Source organism: Homo sapiens, chromosome 12, assembly GCF_000001405.40.
Source record: "Homo sapiens chromosome 12, GRCh38.p14 Primary Assembly".
NCBI lineage: Eukaryota > Metazoa > Chordata > Mammalia > Primates > Hominidae > Homo > Homo sapiens.
In genome coordinates, this window is record NC_000012.12 from 15961886 (window position 1) to 15982938 (window position 21053).

Sequence of the window (21053 nt, forward strand, 5' to 3'; positions counted from 1 at the left end):
GGTGTGCACCACCACACCAGGCTAATTTTTATACTTTTAGTAGAGATGGGGTTTCACCATGTTGACCAGGCTAGTCTCAACCTCTTCACCTCGGATGATCCGCTAGCCTTGACCTCCCAAAATGTTGGGATTACAGGCAAGAGCCACTGTGCCCAGCCCCAAGGAATTTAATATCAAGGTAACATGACAGGTTTTTTTAGAAACAGGGATGGAGAGTTAATGATGTGCATGTAAAAGATGTTACTATTTTTCAAGAGTGTAGTTGTGTTTTGTGTTTTCATTTTCCTCTTATTTACACTTGGCTCTGCTCTTCCCAACCCTGCCCCTGCCTCAATTTGGTGGACTAATTAGGTGTGTTTTCCTCCTGCATTCTCTTTTCTTTATGCTCATCTGCCAGGCTGGTTGTTTTTAACATAGGCAGTGGGAGGAACACATAGGACAGTTTGTTTACCACAGCTAAAGAGGTTCATGAGAGAATTAATCAAGATAAATCAAGGGTAAATGAGTAAATCAAGATAGCTAACTTGATCAAGATTTGGACCCAGAACTAGTGTGCTAGATAACTAGTGTTCATTAAGATAGGGCTACCACTACTATTTTATGGCTATCACTGTGAAGATAAAACATCTTTGCTGGTTACTTAATCCACCTTCATGAGCATCTCTGCAGCATCTTAATTTCAGGTCTTCCAGAAAATGATATTTGTCCTAACACTAATATGAGAGAACATTCAATTTCTTCACACTTATGCATAAGTGATGTTCTTAAGTGTCAGTGCATTGGTCTTTAAATGCTGATGTTTGGGGGTTTGGAATTCTTTGATGAACTACTACTGACCAATTGAAATTTGTTTTCCCCTCCCCCCCTTGCTTACTTTCTTTCTTCCCTCCTTCCCTCTTTCTTCATTTCCTTTCTTAACTCTATTAGTGGCCGCTGGATTTCCAGCTGGACAGACTCATTTGAAGACACGATTAGAAGAGATCAGATTGGCTGTGGAAGATGGAGCTACAGAAATCGACGTGGTAATTAACAGAAGCTTGGTGCTGACAGGCCAGTGGGAAGGTAGGTGCATGCTTTTACCTAAGAGAGTTTCACCATTCTTCCCTGGTGAATCAGATGATGAGGTAAGATGTGGTATGTTTTAGAGGTCACTGTTCTAGGTGACAAGTTAGTAGATCAAATGGTGAGTTTAGGAGAAAGCAGGCTAAGATTACCCATCCTTGTGCCCCTCATAAATCTAGGCAGTTGCCTACCTACATGAACTTTTCAGATCCTTTTGAGTGCTTAGGTGAATAGTTACTTCCATGCAATAGATTCATAACTTTTAAAACAATTTTATTTTACCAACATGCTTTTTCTTCAGAAGGGAAAAGTTACTACTATTCTATACTGTTTTGTTACTCAATACATACTTCACTCCAGGCAAGTCTTTTATGCAAAGTTTATTTGAATATATTGGAGGAAACTTCCCTTTTTTATGTTAATTTTTGCAGTCTTTAAAGGTATGGGATTATTAAGTTGACTAAGTTTATTTTTACTTCTAGCATTCTTAGACACAGCTCTGATGACTATCATGAAATTAATGATTCACTATCACGTCAGCATACACTAAGACATTGCCCTTTCCAGCAACAAGCTTTTGTTTTTTTAAACAGATATTAAAGAATCAAATAGATTTTACCTCTGTCTTAAATATATTTTGTGTACTAAAGATGAGGTCATTGGTAGCTAGAAAAGTAAAATTCTCTTTCAAAAAAGTCATTATAATAAATAGTTTAACCAAAAATTTTTAATGAAATCACAAGTTAAAGCCAGGATAGTATATTGTCTCTTTATATATCAAATAAATGGCATATTTTATACTAATTATGGAGGCTATTCCCACACTCCTTTAAAGTTTAAATAAGAGATAGGATTTTATCTCTTATTTAACCTGCTTATTGGACTTGCCTATTTCTCATGGGTATTTTCCTGTGACTGTTTCTATCCATCTGTATCTGTAAAGCCTATGTCTATTTGTGAAGCCTAATTCCATTGATTGTCAATTATGAATTGCTTTTGGTTATGAAGTAGCAAATGTTCAGTCAGTGGTTTAAACCCTCAGTATTTATTCTCTTATATAAAGTCCAGGGGTAGGTATTTCAGGGGTGTGTGGCAGCTCCACAAAGTTCTTGGAGACCCGGGCTACGTTTATATTCCAGTTCCAAAGCATGTGGCTTCTGCTGTTAATGTCAAGGGCACTTCATTGTCTGAGATGGCTTCTGAAGCTCCAGCACCTTACACTCATCTCCAAGACCATAGGAAAGAAAGGCTTTTCTCATCAAGTCTCACACAACACCTTTGTTTATTACACCTTTGCCCGTTGGCCTGAGCTGAGTGACGTGGCCATTCTTGGCTGCAAGTAAGCTGGAAAATAGAGTTTTTAGCTTGGAATATTAACTACTTTCCTGTACATTCCCATTTCCATTGCGTTCACCCCACTGCCCCCCAAGTTCCCCATTAATACTCATCAACATTTATAATTCTTGCCAGGTTTAAACTCTTGACAGTTCACAAATATCTTTTTGTATTTTGTGTTCCTTTTTTGTGATTGTTCATGTGTGTGTTTTAGCCAATTACAGTCATTCTGAAAAGGCGTATTTTAAATAGATATCTCTGTTCCTATATATTAATTTTGCTTATCTGCTTTTAGTCACGGATTTCACTAAGATTTAAGGCTAGAGTAAAATGAAAAAGTGAGTAAGCGTAGTATTTAAAACAAATCTGGCAATAAACTTTATGTGATTTAGTTGTATACAAACCTATATGTCCTTTATATCTTAAGCAATTGTAGATGTAGAAATTGGGTTTATATTATAACTTACACCTTTTATTAAGCAGTTGTGGATATAGAAATATGGTTTATATTATGCTACTAATTGGAAAATAAAATACAATAGGAGATGGGTTTTGATGTAGCTGACTGCCCCTTAATGAACTAGGAATGGTTGTTTTTAAGAACTGATAATTTCCCAATAACAGGCGTTTATGCAAAATGTAATGACAGATCTTTGTCCTGGACCATACTTTTATATTAACTCTTTTTCTAGTGTTAATAACCTCTTGACCCAAACAAATTGAAAAGGAACATTTAATACTAGAAATTTAATTCTAAATAGAAACCTGAAATGACTTAGGACTTTTTGCTGCAATATTTTGTCTTAATTTTGATTCTCAATTTGATTACATATTGTATTTTTCAGTGTCATGTTTTAATATTAGCTGTTTATTAAAATATGAGCATAAAATAATTTCTTGGAATTTGTGGATGGAAATGTCTATCAAGCAATTGCAGTTTTAAATCCAGGGCCCTCTCCCTTGTGCAGTGAGGTTTGTAGGATATTTGGTAAAGCACAATAGAAAGAACCCCATTTTATTTTTTAAGTTCTGGGGTACATGTGCAGAATGTGCAGGTTTGTTGCATAGGTAAACGTGTGCCATGGTGGTTTGCTGCACCTATCAACCCATCACCTAGGTAGGTATTAAGTGCCTCATGCATTAGCTATTTTCCCTAATGCACTACCTGCCTCCACCCTCCCCCAACAGGCCCCACTGTGTGTTGTTCCCCTCCCTGTGTCCATGTGTTCTCATTAAGAGCCCCATTTTTTAAACCTGGCCCTTCAGAGTGGTCTTAACCATTTCTCATGGATGTGAGAGTCCACAGTTTAGGGTATGAATTCGAGGAGACTGGAGTTTGGGGGTGGGGGAGGTTTGATATTCCTCTCTGGGTTCTCCTTAGTGACCATTTAAAATGTCCACTTTCCTGAAATTTCTAACTTTTCCACCCTCCTTGAAGCTCCTTCACTGTTAGCATATGAACTGCCTCCTACTTCTCAGAGAAAATAAAATCATCAGACAGGAGCTCCCTCCAGGTCCTTGCATCAGGGCTGCTTTTCTTTGCTTCTTCCTTTGCTCCTTCCTCCTAAATTCCTTCCCTCGACTGTGCTGTGGCTCTCATCTCCCCCTGCATTTTCAGAAGCCCTGCTCTATCTATTGGGCATTCTTTCTTCCGTGTCATCAGCCTTTCTGCCAGCTCATTCCCATTAAGCATTTAGACATACTCAAGCTTTTCTTAGCCATTTATGAAAGAACCTACATGCTGGCTTTCCTTTTCCTTCATCCCCAGCAACGTCCTCCTTTCTTCTCTTCCCTTCATGACTAAAATTCTGAAAAGAAGGCCCGATGCGGTGGCTCACACCTGTAATCCCAGCACTTTGGGAGGCTGAAACAGGCACTTTGGGAGGCCTCATCACCTCTTGCTCTGCTGCCGCCCTAAGCTCTGGTTCCGCAGCAACGCTCTGGAGTGAGGCGTCCTCCTCACTTGAGGTTGGGAGTTTGAGACCAGCCTGGCCAACATGGCAAAACCCTATCTCTACTAAATATACAAAGATTCGTTGGGCATGGTGGCACATGCCTGTAATCCCAGCTACTCTGGAGGCTGAGGTGAGCGAATTGCTTGAACCTGGGAGGCAGAGGTTGCAGGGAGCCAAGATTGCGCCACTGCACTGCAACCTGAGGGACAGAGTGAGATTCCCTCTCAAAAAAAAAAAAAAGAATTCTGCAAAGAGTTATATTTATTTGTTTGTCTTGAGAAGTTCAAACTAATATACTAATGACCTGTCATCTCATTATGTCCAGGGCATACTCCCCAGTTGTTTATTCAGCATTACCATGCAACATATGACACAGCAGACTGTTCCTTCCTTCTGGTAATGCTTTGTTGTTGTGGCTTTGGTGCCTACATTCCTGAGGTCTTCCTTTCTGTTTCTGATTACCCCTGCGTCTCATTTGCAAGCTCCTTCACCTCCTCTGTCATCCCTGAAGTGTCCATGTTTCTCAGAATCTGAGAACTGTGGTTCTCAGATTCTGTCCCAGTGTGACTTTTCCACAACCTTGGTGTGCTTTCCTTTGGAAACGTCATGTCCTTGCTGATTTCAGTTACATTCCTTATGGCAAAGACAACCAAACCTCCTGAGCACCAGGACCACCTGGACCCGGGGCCACCTGCTCCAGAACTCGTATTCCGTTGTATCACTACACCATGTTGCATTTTACCCATCATTTACATATAAGTAGACATTCAAATATCACTGACCCTTGACAAAATCAGAGAAATATAGCTATTTTGGAAATAAATCTATTAGGCCGGGCACAGTGGCTTATGCCTGTAATCCCAGCACTCTGGGAGGCTGAGGCAGGCAGATCACTTGAGCCCAGGAGTTCAAGACCAGTCTGGGCAACATGGCAAAACCCCATCTCTGCATAAAAAAAAAAAAATGCAAAAATTAGCCTGGTGTTGTGGTATGCGCCTGTAGTCCCAGCTACTCAAGGTTGGGCCTGAGATGGGAGGATTCCTTGAATGTGGGAGGATTCCTTGAGCCTGGGAGGCAGAGGTTGCAGTGAGCCATGATTGTGCCACTGCACTCATAAGCCACTGCGCCTGGCCTAATAGATTTATTTCTGAAATGGCCTGAGCAAGAGAGTGAGACCCTGTCTCAAACAAACAAACAAACAAACAAAAACTATTAAAAAGTGTTTTCATTTCCCTGACTTTCTTAACAATTTTTATTAAATACAATTTAATTTTTTCTTGATTATTCCAAACTGTTTCATTACTGATTATATTATCCCAGAATACAGTGATGCTTTCAGGGGCCAGTGGAATCTCTGAGATGATTGGCCTCATAGCTCACAGTCCAGACTCTTGTGCTTTTTGATTTATGTATCTTCTTATTTGTTACTGTTTTTTTGCCTACTCCTTAGTGGTTAAGCTTTTTACTGTCAGATCATGTTGAGCTCGTGACGGCACACTGTCCTTCCCTGCCAATCCTTCTGTCACTCCTGTCTAGCTGGACATGGAAACGTGGATAACTACATTTCTCACTTACCACCATAGTTTTAACCCTATAGGGTGTGGCATGTATTGTAGGCTCTCAAAATTACAATACCTGACAAACATTTTCAAATGATTTGCCCCAGCTGCTTTCCTGACAGGATTAGCATATCCCCCTGGGCATTTGTGATAAAAGAATTGAGGTGTGTATGTGAGGGAGGAATAGGCTTCTAAATGGGGAAAATCCCTCCAGGTGATTTTGTTCTCCTTCCCCACCAGTCCCATGTCCTTATTAAGAAGTACTAACTCAGGACTCTTTCTTCTTCTTCTTTTTTTTTTTTTTGACATAATTCCAGTTCTTAGTTGCATATACTTTAGGTGCCAGATAATGGAAACATTGTTGAATTTACATACAACAATGTACGTAAATTCATACATTGAATACATTTATATATTGTATGTTTTATTGTATTACTAATACTAATCAGTTGATTAATTAGTACATCTTGTATTTCCTGTATGTTTCTATGCCGTTAGCCTGGATCTGTAGTTAGTTGTAAACAGGAGAGTTTGATGAATAAAGTGTTATTCTGGTGAATTTAGCTAAGAAGTGCATCTGCTTCCTGTGCTCTTGAGAAAAGAAGACTTTCCTCTCCCTGGGATGGCTGTGCTCTCTGATAAAGATAGCATCCAAGTGGGGACATCACCCGGCCAGGCAGCCAGGCCACCCAGTCATTGCTGGTGTCACAGTCAGACCCAGAACAAATGCACCATGGGGTAAGAAGGGAGGACAGTACTGGGAAAGCAGGAATAGTTGAAAGCTGCATCTTTGCATTAGACAGATCTTGGCTGGAATCTTGGCTCTACCGTTTACTCTTGGACAGGTTCTTCTCTGTGCTTTCTGTTCCTTCTATGTAAAGTGGAGATAATGACATCTACTTCACAGGGTTACAATAGGGAAGAAATTAGATAATGTATGTAAAATATCATCCTGTTGCTTGGCCCAGATGCAGCCCTCCTTGCCAGCTGCAGTGTTGCCTTCTCTTTCTCCCTCCTCCTGCCCCGATGATGGTCTGTTGTCAAGGGAAGTGACACATAGCACATGTGTTAAGTGAATAAAGTGGAACTCTAAAGATTTGGGTTTTAGTCTTTATGATTTTGATAATTTATACCTAGACCTTGGGTAAACACTTCACTTCTCTCTGCTTCCATGTAAATGTTACAAATGAGGGGCTAGGACATAATGATTTTTACAACCCTTTAGAGCTATAATGATCTTTAATTTTATGTTTAGTGTTTTCATTTTCAGTGAATATTATTCCCATGATTAGTACATGTAATACAGTATTTCTTAATGGTGGTGTTGAAGTTGACATCTAAGATGCACTCCTTAAACAGTTCTTTGAAGAAAGCATTCACCAGAAGTTGTTCATCATTTCATAAATCTTATTGAGCAGGTTTTAAAAATTGAATAGTTTCCATGCTCTGTAAATATACAGAGGTGTTCATTTTACTTTTTTTATGACCTCTTTCTGTTGCATCTATTTACCTAATATATTTACCAGTGACAGGGAAATGCTATCAGATTGCACCTTGTTCAGGAATCTAGCTCCATGAGCTGAGGACCTGGAGCTGGCTTTACTAGCTTTGGGAGACTCATTCCACACTGGAGCACCAGCAGACGTAGTTCCAAAGGTGGCTAGGATTGTCTGACATTCTGCAGCATCTTATGTTCAATGGGCAATTGGAAGTACCATTCGTCTCCTGTATCCAGAGCCTCATGTACTTTTCATCTCCTTCAATTGTTTACCCCTGAATTGCTCTCTTAAATCTGGCCTGTGAAGTACATACATCATGGCTATCAAACATTTTAGGATAAGAGAATGAAATATCAGCACCAAAGTCACATTATTTTTCATTTTCTTACATGAAGAGAATCCTAAAGACCTTGAATCAGGGCAATAATCTATTTTTCTTATTTGCTGATTTTTACACAAGAAGGATGGTAGAAAGAACATCTCAAAAATAAATTGGTATATTTCTTTTATAGAGTGTTAATCATATTTTATTAGAAAAGCAGTCTCTAAATCGATAGCTACTTTTTGGGGAGGAATTACATAATCTATAATTTGTGATTTCTCTGTTTTGGAAGTTGTATATAACAGAAATTCTGGAAATACGACAACTGTATGCTTTTATGATTTTCATTTTTATGCTACAATTCTTCAAAACTTCAGATACTATTGATAAAAATGTGCATCTTATCTCTTGTAGGTTATTATAATATCTGGTGTGTTAGCTCATCTCTGCCTTAGTCTTACAAGATTAATTAGTTGCTTTGGTGGATGAAACTGTGTTCTTGAACATTTTGTGACTTTTTTAGTTTAAAAGGTTGCTGTACAATTTTATATTAAGTGTTTTACTGTACATATAATTATCTTAAGAGTTATTTTCAGGCCATTCTTGTGCAGTGTTGAACATCTTTCTGATACTCAAAAAATAATTGCTTAGATATGTTCGTTAACAATTATTTTTAAGTGCCTTTGAATAGCAGGAAATATAGAAGGAAATATACTTTATGACTTTTAGATAGGAAACAGTCTTTAAACGCTTGGATTCTTACTTAAATCATAATTTTATACATATAAGTTTTATTAACAGAGTTTTTGATGTCTAGAGCAGTGCTTTTCCAGAATACTTAGCAGATTGCCAGCCGCTTCAAAATTGAGAAGATACCGTCCTTTCAGGTGGATCCTAGAGAGAAGAAAGTTAATTTTATTTATTTATTTATAAGTGTTTTTAGCTTTTTGAGGGTTTTTAAATTTTCATTTCTTTTTTTAAAATACACCATTCTATTTTTGAAAATAATGTTAAGAATGAGCTCATTAAAAAAGAAAACTGAAAAAAAACAGGTACACCCACATTTCCAACTCCATCTCTCTTTTCAGACTGTTCAAGATGTACACATGTACTTGGTATATCTGTAGACCTGATTCTTTCCATGTTGTTTTCAGAGGTTGACACCAAACTACCAAGTAGATATTTATCCTTTGGTTTAAATTCAGATTCCATTCCACCAAAGCAACATGAAAAAACCTAATGTCTAGTTTTAGCTTCTGGGGATTACATTCTTCAGGTAAGAAGTGAAAATAGAGAATAAATGGTGTTACCATCTTTATTCAGAAAGTCATTATTTTTAGCAAAATGGGGCCAAGGCAGAAAATCCAGGTTGTAAGATTTGGAAAAAGGAGTGTCCACACCATGGGACATGTACAGATTGATCACTATGACAGCAGCCCTTTATAGAGGTAATAATGTTGTCATTAGGTTGTGACAATTCTCCAGAGACTTCAACAGCCCCGGATTAATAACATCTGGAAATTGTTCAGATGACATAAATTTCTGTTTTCTGTTTTAAGGCTTCCATTGTGCCTTTCTGTGGCATCTGCCGTTGTTTTTCTTTTTCAAACCTTTCAAATCAGGAAATATACATAAAATACAAGATTATTTTCCTCACATGTGCTCCTAGGCTCTTGTCTTGATAGCCAGCGTTACCAAATCTATCAGGTAAACTGCTGGCCAACTGGTATGTCTGCTGGAATTTCTGGAGGTGGAATAGCAAATGAGTTCATCTGGCAAAGAGAGCATCTGAAGGTCCATGCAGTCTTGGCAAGAAAACACTAAGTCCCACACATAAGACAGGGATGGGGAGTTTTTCGTCACTGAAGAGGCCATCTTTATATCTCAACTCTTTTTTTTTTTTTTTTTTTTTTTTTGAGATGGAGTTTCATTCTTGTTGCCCAGGCTGGAGTGCAATGGTGCGATCTTGGCTCACTGCAGTCTCTGCCTCCCAGGTTCAAGAGATTCTCCTGCCTCAGCGTCCCGAGTAGCTGGAATTACTGGTGTCCACCACCATGCCCAGCTAATTTTTTGTATTTTTAATAGAGATGGGGTTTCACCATGTTGGCCAGGCTGGTCTCGAACTCCTGACCTCAGGTGACCCACCTGCCTCGGCCTCCCAGAGTGCTGGGATTACAGGCGTGAGCCACTGTACCCAGCCGGATCTCAACTCTTAAAGATAATTCAGGAACCATTGCTAAAGTGAACAAGGCCAGCAGATTTTGGAGCACAGTCAATCTTCAGTGAGGGCAGATGTTTCCTAATTAAATTCCTGAATTTCTTTTTGGCTTCTGTCCTTTCTTCATTATCAAAGTACCAAACAGTATAGCACATCTGGTCTCATAGGAAGACAGCACCTCGTGTAGCTTCCTGCGATCTGACCAGGAGAGCAGGACTTTTTCACAATTGGCCTCCACATCTGCCACGAATGATTTCTCCTCTGAAAATAGCCATAGGATCCCACCGTGTAGCCTGGTATCCCAGTTCTTGTTCAGATAGTAGATGCAGGTGGTGCAGCAGCCATCGTTGTTGAGGTGTCCACATGATGAATGTAACCTATTCCATTTTTAAGATAGCAAGCCACCATTGCCTTGGACCTCTCCTTGACATAGTATTTTCCCAGTGGCTCCTGCACTAGAGGACTAGCCTGTCAGTGAGGGACAGGAGGAAGCCAATGGCCTCGCGGCCCTTCTTGTTGCTCCCAGAACTGTGGGGTGAACTGATCACCCCACAGTTCACCCTTTAGAGACACTGCACACATCCCAGCCAGCTGGCTGTCCCGCAGGGCCCCCTTGCAATGCAGCTGTTTAATGTGCTCCTGGATGCAGTTGTCCACCACCTCCTTGCCCAGGAAGTTTTGCGGGTAGCAGAAGCTGACTTCCCGCAGACAGCGCATGATGTACTCTAGGGAAATTTTCTCCAATTCCTGCCTCATGATGTGTCCCAGGGGCATTTCACGCATAGTGCAGAAGTCGGGGACCTCCAGCGTGCACCCAGAGAGGGAACGATGTATGTGATGTGAAGCCAAGGTGTGGGGAGTGTGGCCATGGTCCCGAGCCACCGCAGTCAGTACTGGGGACAGGGGAAAGTTGCTCACAACTCTCAGGAGAAGGGATCTGCGTTCAGGGATCAGTGGGAGTGGTGCGGGACTCCACGATCTAGTGCTGGACTTGGAAGTTAATCTTAAATAAAGAAAACTAAAATGCTATCGATGCAAGTTCCTGCTGGCGTGCGGGGACAGCATTGCAGAAGGTAGGGCCAGTTGTCAACCTGATTTGGATGCTGTTTCAAACATGCAGTCTGACCCCTTTCCCTCCTTTCCACTCCTTGGATCCACACTCTGATGCACACAGGCCTTTCTCATTGTGGCCGAGTGCTCTGATTCCTGTCAGTGAGCACTCCACTGACACAGCCTCACTTGTTTTTCAGCTGGGAACGACAGGCAGAGGTCAGGTTATGACCTCTACTTCTTCTCAGTGTGGCAGTAGTAGGAGGGATGCGGGGAGACAAACGGGAGACAACTCTTCTGCTAGTTGTGCCACTATATTGATTAAGCATCTGCAATGTAATATATCCTGGGCTTCTAGCACACCCACTTTCACTACCCCTGAAAACCTCATTATAAGTCAAAACATTTATTAATAGGTTTTTAATGTGACATCACTATGCCAGCCACTTCTCTGGTGTATGTGTTTTGTTAAATTTTGCATTATTCTGACTAATTTGCAGTCGTGGTATTGGAATTCCATTTTCATTTGTCAGGCATCTTTGATAATATATGGCAAGAATTGCTTTTTTTATAATAGAGAATTTCCAGTTTTCATAATGTTTGAATTTTTAACAACAGACATATATTACATGTGAATATGTAAGCAGAAAAAATAGTAAGGGCTCTGGAGAATAAGGTCATGATGTTTGCAAATATTTAACTATAAGGACATTTACTGAAGTATTACTTATAATAGCAAAAAATCTGGAACCTTAAGTATCCAATAACAGGAAAATGATTGAATACATTTTTTATGTCCATGTGATGGAATATTGTGCAGCCATTAATAATTGCTCCATAGACCTATATTTATTAATATAGAAATATATCAAGGATATATTGAAGGAAAAAAGCATGTTACAGAATAATATGTACCATATGTAATCACTTTTTTTTAAGTTATAGAAGCCATAGAGTGATTGATAGTCTAAAAAGCCCTCCTGTAAGAAAAATATCTGGATGCTAAATTACAACAAACATATCAAATTATTTTTTAACTTTTATTTTTGAATAATTTTAAACTTACAGAAAAGTTGTAAAATTGGTACGCAAAACTACAGTTTTATCACTGAGATTCTCCAATTATAAAGTGCTATCCCATTTCCTTTTTTTGACTTATTTCCTCTGTGAAGTGTGTACATACATATATAAATTATGTATTATATACATATTTTTCTGGACCATTTGGGAATAAGTTGCAGACCTGTTCACCTGTTACCCTTAAATACTTCAGTGTGTATTTCCTAAGAACAAGGACAAGGACAGGGACACTCTTGTACCAAGCCACAGTACTGCATCAAAATCAGGAAATTAACATTGATGACCATACGGCCATTAAATGTACAGATTGTTCAGATTTTGCAGATTGTCCCAATAGTGTTCTTTATTAGGTGTAGTATCAGTTGTTTCATATCTCTTTAATATTCTTTAACCTAAGAATACTAAGAACAGTCCTCAGTCTTCCCTTGTCTTTGACGATTACGGGCCTGTTGTTTTGTAAAATATACCTCAGTTTGGGTTTGTTTGGTATTTTCTCACAGTTAGATTCAGGTTGCACATTTTTGGCAGGTATACCACAGAACTTTTGCTCCGTTCTTCTCAATGCATTATTTCAGGAGTCACAAGATGTTAATTTGTCCCATTATTGATGATGTTCCTTTTTTTACTTGGCAAAGATGGTTTCTGCCAAGTTTCTCCATTGTAAAATTAATAAGTATTTTGCATTTTAATAAGTAATTAATATAGATTATGAATGGAGATATTTTGAGACTATGTTAATATCCTTTTCCTCATCTAACTTTTATTCACTCTTTTAGCATCCATTGATGATTTTTTCAGCTATTACTCTGATTTTCTAATTCTGTCATTTCTTCTATACTTAAGAGTTGGCATTACCAAATCTGGGCATGATGTGGAACCCTACAAAGCCAGATGTGGTATTGAGGTCCTTCCCTCGCTCCCTTCCTCTGTCCTTCCCTCTCTCTCTCCTTCCCTCCCTTCCTTCCTTCCTGTTTGTAAGAACTCATTGATTCTTATTTTACTCAATTGGTTATAATCCTTTACCATCATTATTTATTTTGATACTCAAGTAGTCCCAGATTTGGCCATTGGGAGTGTAACCGCTCAGTGGGTTCACCTTGCCTGCTGCCTACACAGAGCTAGTTTCTCAAGACGGAAATTACAGTAGAGAAAGAGTAATTCACACAGAGCCAGCTGTGTGGCAGACCAGAGTTTTGTTTTATTACTACTCAAGTCAGTCTCCCTGAGCATTTGGGCATCCGAGTTTTTAAGGACAACTTGGTGGGTGGAGGAAGTCAGTGAGCCAGGAGTGCTGAGTGGTTGGCTAGGAGATGGAATCCTAGGGAATTATTTGAACCTGTCCTCTTGTGCTGAATTAGTTTTTGGGTGGGGGCCACAAGATCGGATGAGCCAGTTTATCGATCTGGGTGGTGCCAGCTGATCCATCAAGTGCAGGGTCTGCAAATTATCTCAAGCATTGATCTTAGGAGCAGTTTAGGGAGGGTGAGAATCTTGCAGCCCCTAGCTGCATGACTCTTAAGCCGTAATTTCTAATCTTGGAGCTAACTTGTTAGTTCTACAAAGGCAGTCTAGTCCCCAGGCAAGAAGGAGGTTTGTTTTGGGAAAGGGCTGTTATTATCTATGTTTTAAACTATGAACTATAAACTAAGTTCCTCCCAAAATTAGTTCAGCCTGTGCACAGGAAGGAACAAGGACAGCTTAAAGGTTAGAAACAAGGTGGAGTCAGTTAAGTTAGATCTCTTTTACTGTCTCAGTCATAATTTTGCAAAGGCAGTTTCGGGACCTGCTTCACACTGGCTCCTCTATCCTTTTTATGTTCCCATCATTCTTTGAGAGCTTCCTTGCTTTCTTGTAATAGATGTTTCAGGCGTATCTTTGACTTTGTCTGCTCCAGCTTTGGAATCAGTCATTTCTCCAAGGAGCTCTTGCTCCTTTTATTGATTAACTGTATTTAGAAACCAAGATCTGGGTGCTAGGTATAACTCACTGCTATTGGGATGTTATTGTTTCTAGGCCCTCTTGTCAGACAGATCTAGTAAATACATGAACGTACACATATACACAGCACACACATAGAAACACACATTCATTTTTATTTATTTATATATCAGTCTATAAATCTGTCTTAGAACTTACAACTTCACACTATAACCTCTATTACACTCCAGCATTGCATGGTTTATTCTTACTTTCCCCTTCCATATTTATACCCCTTCTTCCCGTCAGTGAGATATCTTGCTCCCATTATCCATTATCTTCAGTATATTCATCTTTTTTATCAATATTTGCCTTTTTATCAATTGCTTTGTGTTTGACAATCTCTAGAACCTGCGGGTTGTCTTCCTGGCTCTACTTGCCAAGTCCTCCCCAACCCCTAGAATTTTCAGTCCTCGCTGGTAAGGGTGACCTTCACTTTCCCCAGAGCTGACTGCACGTCCCCCTCACCTCGCCTCCATCATGTTGCCATGATGTAGCAACATGCAGGCCAAGAATTTCTCTAGGCCCCAGTGACATGGGGGCTAGGTTTCTCTCCACCTTCTTGGCAGTGTGTGGCTGAGAAAATCCCTGCTCTCCCTTGTCTGTGGTTGAGAGCTCCCAAAGATAGAGTTCAGAATCATCTTTCTAAATCAACAAGAGGCTCTTTCATCTTAATTATAACAGCTTAAACTTTTAGAGTAAGTCAACGTTTACCATCATTTTACGTGTGCTTATTATCAAAGGTGGATCTGAAGGAAAAATGATTGATTACCTTCCTAACCGTTTTAATACTTTTATATTTATTGGCAGAATTTGAGAAGGGTTTGAGCTGTAAAAATAAAGCTCTCCTATCTAATCTTGAGGAGAAAAATGAAGCTTGGAGAGGTTCAGTAACTTTCCCAAGTAACACCACTAATCAGCGGCCAAGCAAGGGCTGAGAAGTCCTGATTCAAATATATGAACTCTACTGTAGCACCATACCCTGGTTTTCTTCCCATCCAGGGGGCTAAAAGAGCAATTTAGAGATCATTTTTAGTGTATTATACAAAATTTAGTATCTTATATTTCTGAATTACCTTGGAACAAAGAGCAATTTAGAGATCATTTTTAGTGTATTATACAAAATTTAGTATCTTATGTTTCTGCATTACCTTGGAACTTTTCATTTTATGCAGCTTTTTTCCCCTAGAAGAATGAAAACCAGGTCCTAGGATTCTAATGCCCATCTGTCAAGTGAGTAGTTTGAACTAGAAGGGAGTTGACATCCTTCTACGTTCTGAGTTTTGACGAATCTGTTGCTCGAAGCACTGCAATGTATTTCCCTGGGAATATGTTGTAACTGCAGTGAGTGTACACGTGCATGCATGTGTGTGTGTGCTGGGATAGAGGCAGAAAATTTTGAGGAAATACAGTTTTATTCCACGTATGAAGACATGACTCCTCCTCTCTGTTCTATAACTGACCCACAGTAAGATTTGGAGCAAGTCATTTATCTCTCCACATCTCACTTTTCTTTCTTTCTTTTTTGAGATGGAATTTTGCTCTTATTGCCTAGGCTGGAGTGCAATGGCGCAATCTCAGCTCACTGCAACCTTCGCCTCCCAGGTTCAAGTGATTCTCCTGCCTCAGCCTCCAGAGAGTAGCTGGGATTACAGGCATTTGCCACCATGCCTGGTTAATTTTTTGCATTTTTTTAGTAGAGACGGGGTTTCACCATGTTGGCCAGACTTGTCTCGAACTCCTGACCTCAGGTGATCCACCTGCCTTAGCCTCCCAAAGTGCTGGGATTATAGGCGTGAGCCACTGCACCCAGCCTACATCTCATGCTTCACATGGGAAGTGTGGAGGTAACTGCAAATTGTCTCACGATGGATGGTTAAATAGCGTGTGGAGAACACTGAGCATTTTTGAGGGAAGAGGCTTTGAAAACGTAGGGGATTTCTCATCCTTTAGAGTAATTATTCCTCATGAAAAATTTTTTGGAAAGGGCATCTGTTGAACTTATTGCTTCACTTGTAATTTCCTCTGTGTATGTGGTCTAGCAGCAGTTATAATAACTCCATACCCCACCATTGTCCTTTCCTACCAACATAGGGGAAAACCTGCTCATTCGTTTTTCCATTGTTTGGCTTATTTGTATTGAAAGGAAAGTGTCAGCTGAGTTTGTTAAAGGACATAATTTGAGATTGACTGGGTTACATTTCAGCCATCAAGCCACTTTGATTAGCATATGTCATTCATCTAGTTTCTGAGGTGTCTATCATGGTACTGTCAAAGTCCTCAAAACGACCTAAACACTAATAATGCTTCTTTGTGGTTTCTATGGCTTGTGTTGGAGTGAAGTGGTCTATTTTTTCTTATATGTAAGACTGGCAAATTCTAGTTGTGCTTTCATAAGTATTAGGACAGTGCTTGCTATTTTTTGTTCGTTAAAGTTATTTTTGGGTTTCTGGAAGTGTATAAGGGAAAATATGGGAAGCTAGTATTGAATGATTAACTGCCTACTAAATGCCTGGTTCTATTCTAGCAACATATATTATTTAATCATCACAAAAATATGTGAGCAAACTGAGCCTCCCTAAGTAATTAGGCTTAGAGAAATCGAATAATTCCTAAATGTTTACACAACTAGCAAGTAGCAAAAATGTCTTATCTCAAGAGTCTGTGCTATTCAAAGTAGCATGGGTTCTTAGCTTAAAAACAAACTTGTTTGTGATATATAGTAAGCCGTTTCCCCCAGACTGTTTTTTTAGGGGCCCAAAGAGGTTTTATTTTATGTTCTTCAAGGAACATAGATCATGGTGTCCTCTGCTTTTGTAAGTCCCTCTGTAATCTGAGCCTGATAAGCACTGAATAATAACAGGAACACCATCACTGCTGCCACCAACAACTTTGAAAACAGGAACTGACATTCCTTGAGCATGAACAATGTGCTGGATATTGTCCTTATCTATTCGTGTGTGTTAACCTGTTTGAAAATAACTCCGTGAGGTGTGCATACTTCTATCATTCCCATTTTGTAAATGAGGAACATGGGACAGGTTTAGAGTTAAGTAACTTACCCAAATCAAACAATAAACTAGTAGTAAAGTTGGGGTGTGAATCCATATACTCAGGAGAATCCACATTTTTGTCTACAATACTATACTTCTTCAGTAAATATTCATGAGTTGAAGAAAACCAATTCTGATTAAGTGAAGCTGAAAGGGAATTTATTATATTAGGAAGACATAAAGAAGCTCACTGAATAAGTAGGAAGCCTTGCTTGGAAAAAAAGCAGGACCATGAGGGAATAAGGAGCAGAGAACACAGTCAGATTGTGCCACAGGAAGAGCTTGGGCCCAGGGCCACTGCTGGTGCTGCTCCTACTGGCCAGCACAGGTACCACACTGTTGGCTGGTGGCTGGCCCCTGGGACACTGGACTTTTGGATCTCCTGCTATTGCTGATGCCACAATAATAAAGAAAATATCTAACTATTCTTTCATCTTTGCCTCACTCTTTAAGATTCAAAGGCCTGAGTAGAAGCAATCACTTGATAGAGCCCAGGTCACATTTTAAAAAGACCAGATTTGGTATAACTTTTGATTTAATTGTTCTGATATATTTTGGGCAGAATGGTAACAGAAAGAAATGACAACTTTCCACCTGTTGAACCTTAAAGATTAAGATATTTTCTCAGAAAAACTTGATCCTGTTATGTGGTAAAATAGGCCAGTAAAATGATTTTAGAAATTGGCAGTTAAAGAATGAGAAGACATTGGTTGCATATTTGTAAATCCAGTTATGCTCTAAGTGACCACTTGCAGTTCATTCTGTTTGGATCATGGATTAAAGAGTATAACTTCCAAATGACTGAATCATAAAATACCTCTGGTTTTCGTGGTTAATTTTAACTATACTTCAAGAAATTCACTTGGCATCAGAAGGTAGTACTCTAGAAAAAGGATGGTGTTTTTTTGTTCACAAATATGGTCGTGATCAGTGTTTTAAGAATTTGTTTTACAGGCCAAAGTTCACTTTAACAACTGCTGTAATAAAATACTTTCCAGCCTTGTCTGATGGCTCACTGATTGTAAGCAGTAATCCAACAGAACTTTGGTTACTGGAACTGGGTCAGGCCATGAAATAAGATTTGACTTTTATAACACAACACTTAGTGGAAATTCATTTTACTAGAATTCTGAACTTAATAATTAAACTTTTTGAGTGCTTATAACATGTCAGGCAGTATGCAAAGTACTTTGTATATCTCTCTCTCATTCCTGGTAACCCTGTAAAGTAAATATTATTGACACTTTAAGGATGGAGCTGATGCTGACAGAAATAACTTGCCTAAGGTCCCACAGGAAATGATGGAGTTGGGTTTTAAATCTGCATTTGTCCTACTCTAAAGCCTGCTTTTAATGACAACACTATTTTGTGGAAGAAAATCATTAATTAAATCACAAGTTAACTTGGATTAGCGTTCTTGGATTTTTAGATCAGAAGATTTTCCTTGTCACTTGTTCTTAGAAAACAAGTTTCTTTTTTTAGATTCAATAACTTAAGAAATGTCATTCCATCCAATTCATTCTCTGAATTAAAAGAATATAATTTTTTTTTTCGCTCCATAGTCTATTACTATTTTTAACATTCTTACACAGGTTGTCATATTGGAGGCATAAGTAGGATGATTTTCTCCCAGGTTAGGTAGATGGGCAGGGTAAGGTAGGTGGTGTGGCATCTCAGATCATCCCTAGTACTCAGAACTGCACGTTATTAAGGATCTGTGAAAATAGTCTGTTCTTTATTGAACCTTCTGTGGGTACCATCTCTCAGTGGTAACAAACTTTCTAAACTTACTGAGCATCTTGGAATAGAATATTTGCTTTCATTTCTCTTCATTTTTCACTTCTGAGCTTCAAGTTCATGTTTTCTGTGATTGAGAAGGCAAGCTTTATTTGGCTGTTATAACTTGTGGTTTTAACTGAGACTAATTTTTCATTTTTCTAAATGTACTTTACTAAGCCTGTGAATTATAGAACTCTCATTTTAGCTTTAAGAAATGCTTACCCCAACCCTTATTATGAATGTTTCCCTCCTGCTTGGTTTACTCTGTATGTTTATAAAACTACTTCCTATGGGCCGGGCACCGTGGCTCACACCTGTAATCCCAGCACTTTGGGACGCTGAGGCAGGCGGATTACCAGATCAGGAGATCGAGACCATCCTGGTTAACACGGTGAAACCCCGTCTCTACTAAAACTACAAAAAGTTACCCAGGCGTGGTGGCAGGCGCCTGTAGTCCCAGCTACTCGGGAGGCTGAGGCAGGAGAATGGCGTGAACCCCAGAGGCGGAGGTTGCAGTGAGCTGAGATCACGCCACTGCACTCCAGCCTGGGTGACAGAGCAAGACTCCATCTCAAAAACCAAAAAACAAAAAACAAAAAAACCTACTTCCTATGAAAGATACTCAAATACAAAGGAAAGAAAAAGCCTTGGTCTTGTTACCATGGCAGTAGCCTGAGTTCAAGAAATGATAGTGGCCGGCCTGAAAAAGCCAAAATTCACTAGTATCATTGACAAAAGACTTAAATAATTTTTTAAAGATTTAATACACATGATTTTGGTCTAATTTGCTTACTAAAATCCTGCTACCTTTCATGTAAAATGTTACCTTGAATATGAAATATGAAATAAATCTGGGCCCAATGTGGAACCCTCCAAAGCCAGATGTGGTACTGGGGTCATGGGCTCAGGGGTTAACAGATTTAAGGCAGCATCTCTGAGCCTCCCTGCAGAGATGGCTTTGTACACATGCGTCCAGCACTACCTGGCCAGGCCTAACACTTTTTAGTCAGATATATAAACATACTCTGGCAGGCAGTGGGGCAAGCTGCTGTGTCTTTATTGTCATGAACATAACTCTCAAGAAAGGTGTGCTTTATATCCAACCAAAGAACCTATTACTTGTGAATGGAAGAATTAATAAGAACCTAAGATTTTTTTTTATTACTTTGCAAAGGGGTACACCACTGTATGTATGGTAGCTACATTTGTTTTTTGTTGGAAGCAACCATCATATGGACAAGACAGAAATTATTTATAATTTGCATGTCATTATGATATTTAAAAAGCTCTATGTCTCTGGACCTCAGGCCAGGGCTTAGAAACGGTTTCATGGTAGCAAACTAAGCATTCCTTGTAACAGGATGTGAACTGCAACAGAATGCTCCAGGCAATGTTAAATTGGGGTGATTTTTAGAAAGTGACAAATGTTTTATGTTTCCTAAATGTGAAATGGGTTCCACCAGCTCTAAACGGCTGCCAAGTTATGTTATCACTTGCCTGCTTTGTAACTGCCTCAATTATTTTCTTCCCCAGCCCTGTATGATGAGATTCGTCAGTTTCGCAAGGCCTGTGGGGAGGCTCATCTTAAAACTATATTAGCGACAGGAGAACTTGGAACTCTTACTAATGTCTATAAAGCCAGTATGATAGCAATGATGGCAGGTAAGTGTTTTATGTTCAAATAATGTTTTCTATTGAATTGATGTTTTTAGGAGAAATTAAGTAAGTGAAAGCATTTAGCTATTATTAAACGTGCTAACCACTTGGAATTTTTTTGCGGGAGGAATCGGATATTTTGTAAAAACATGTTCAATGTGAAGTGGTCAAAAACTCCTGGCTTTCTTCCACATTTTTTTTTGTGTGTGTGTGGCATTTCATTGCTGCACTATGCTTATAAGGCAGTAGATGGCTCTCTTGTTAGTGAATTGCCTTCTGTTTTATTCTTTGATTATTCACTCATCAACATATGTTAGACAGGAATTTCTTTGACTTACTCCTCTCTGAATTTAAGCTTTTCATTTATCTCAGAGATATATATCCATACTATCTGAGACAGCCTCTGCTTTTGTTTGTGTTAATGTTTTAAAATTTAGTGCAGTATCATTGATTTTTATACTTTCAAATATAAGTTGACTTATTCTTTATCTCTGTGAACAGCAGGTCT

The 21053-nt window shown here is 39.1% G+C and overlaps 1 protein-coding gene and 1 pseudogene across 3 annotated transcripts in view; one reads left to right on the top strand and one right to left on the bottom strand.

Annotated features, from left to right (window-relative positions):
• The window catches only part of DERA (deoxyribose-phosphate aldolase), a 126050-nt gene that overhangs the window by 50554 nt on the left and 54443 nt on the right, over positions 1-21053 (top strand). For 2 of the 3 annotated variants that reach the window (XM_024449001.2, NM_015954.4), the window contains exons 5-6: positions 928-1062; positions 20423-20551. In XM_024449001.2, the coding sequence (XP_024304769.1) occupies positions 928-1062; positions 20423-20551 (264 nt within the window). The remainder of the gene's footprint in view (positions 1-927; positions 1063-20422; positions 20552-21053) is intronic. The other variant, NM_001300779.2, reaches the window with a different exon arrangement.
• EGLN3P1 (egl-9 family hypoxia-inducible factor 3 pseudogene 1) lies at positions 9933-10917 on the bottom strand (annotated as a pseudogene).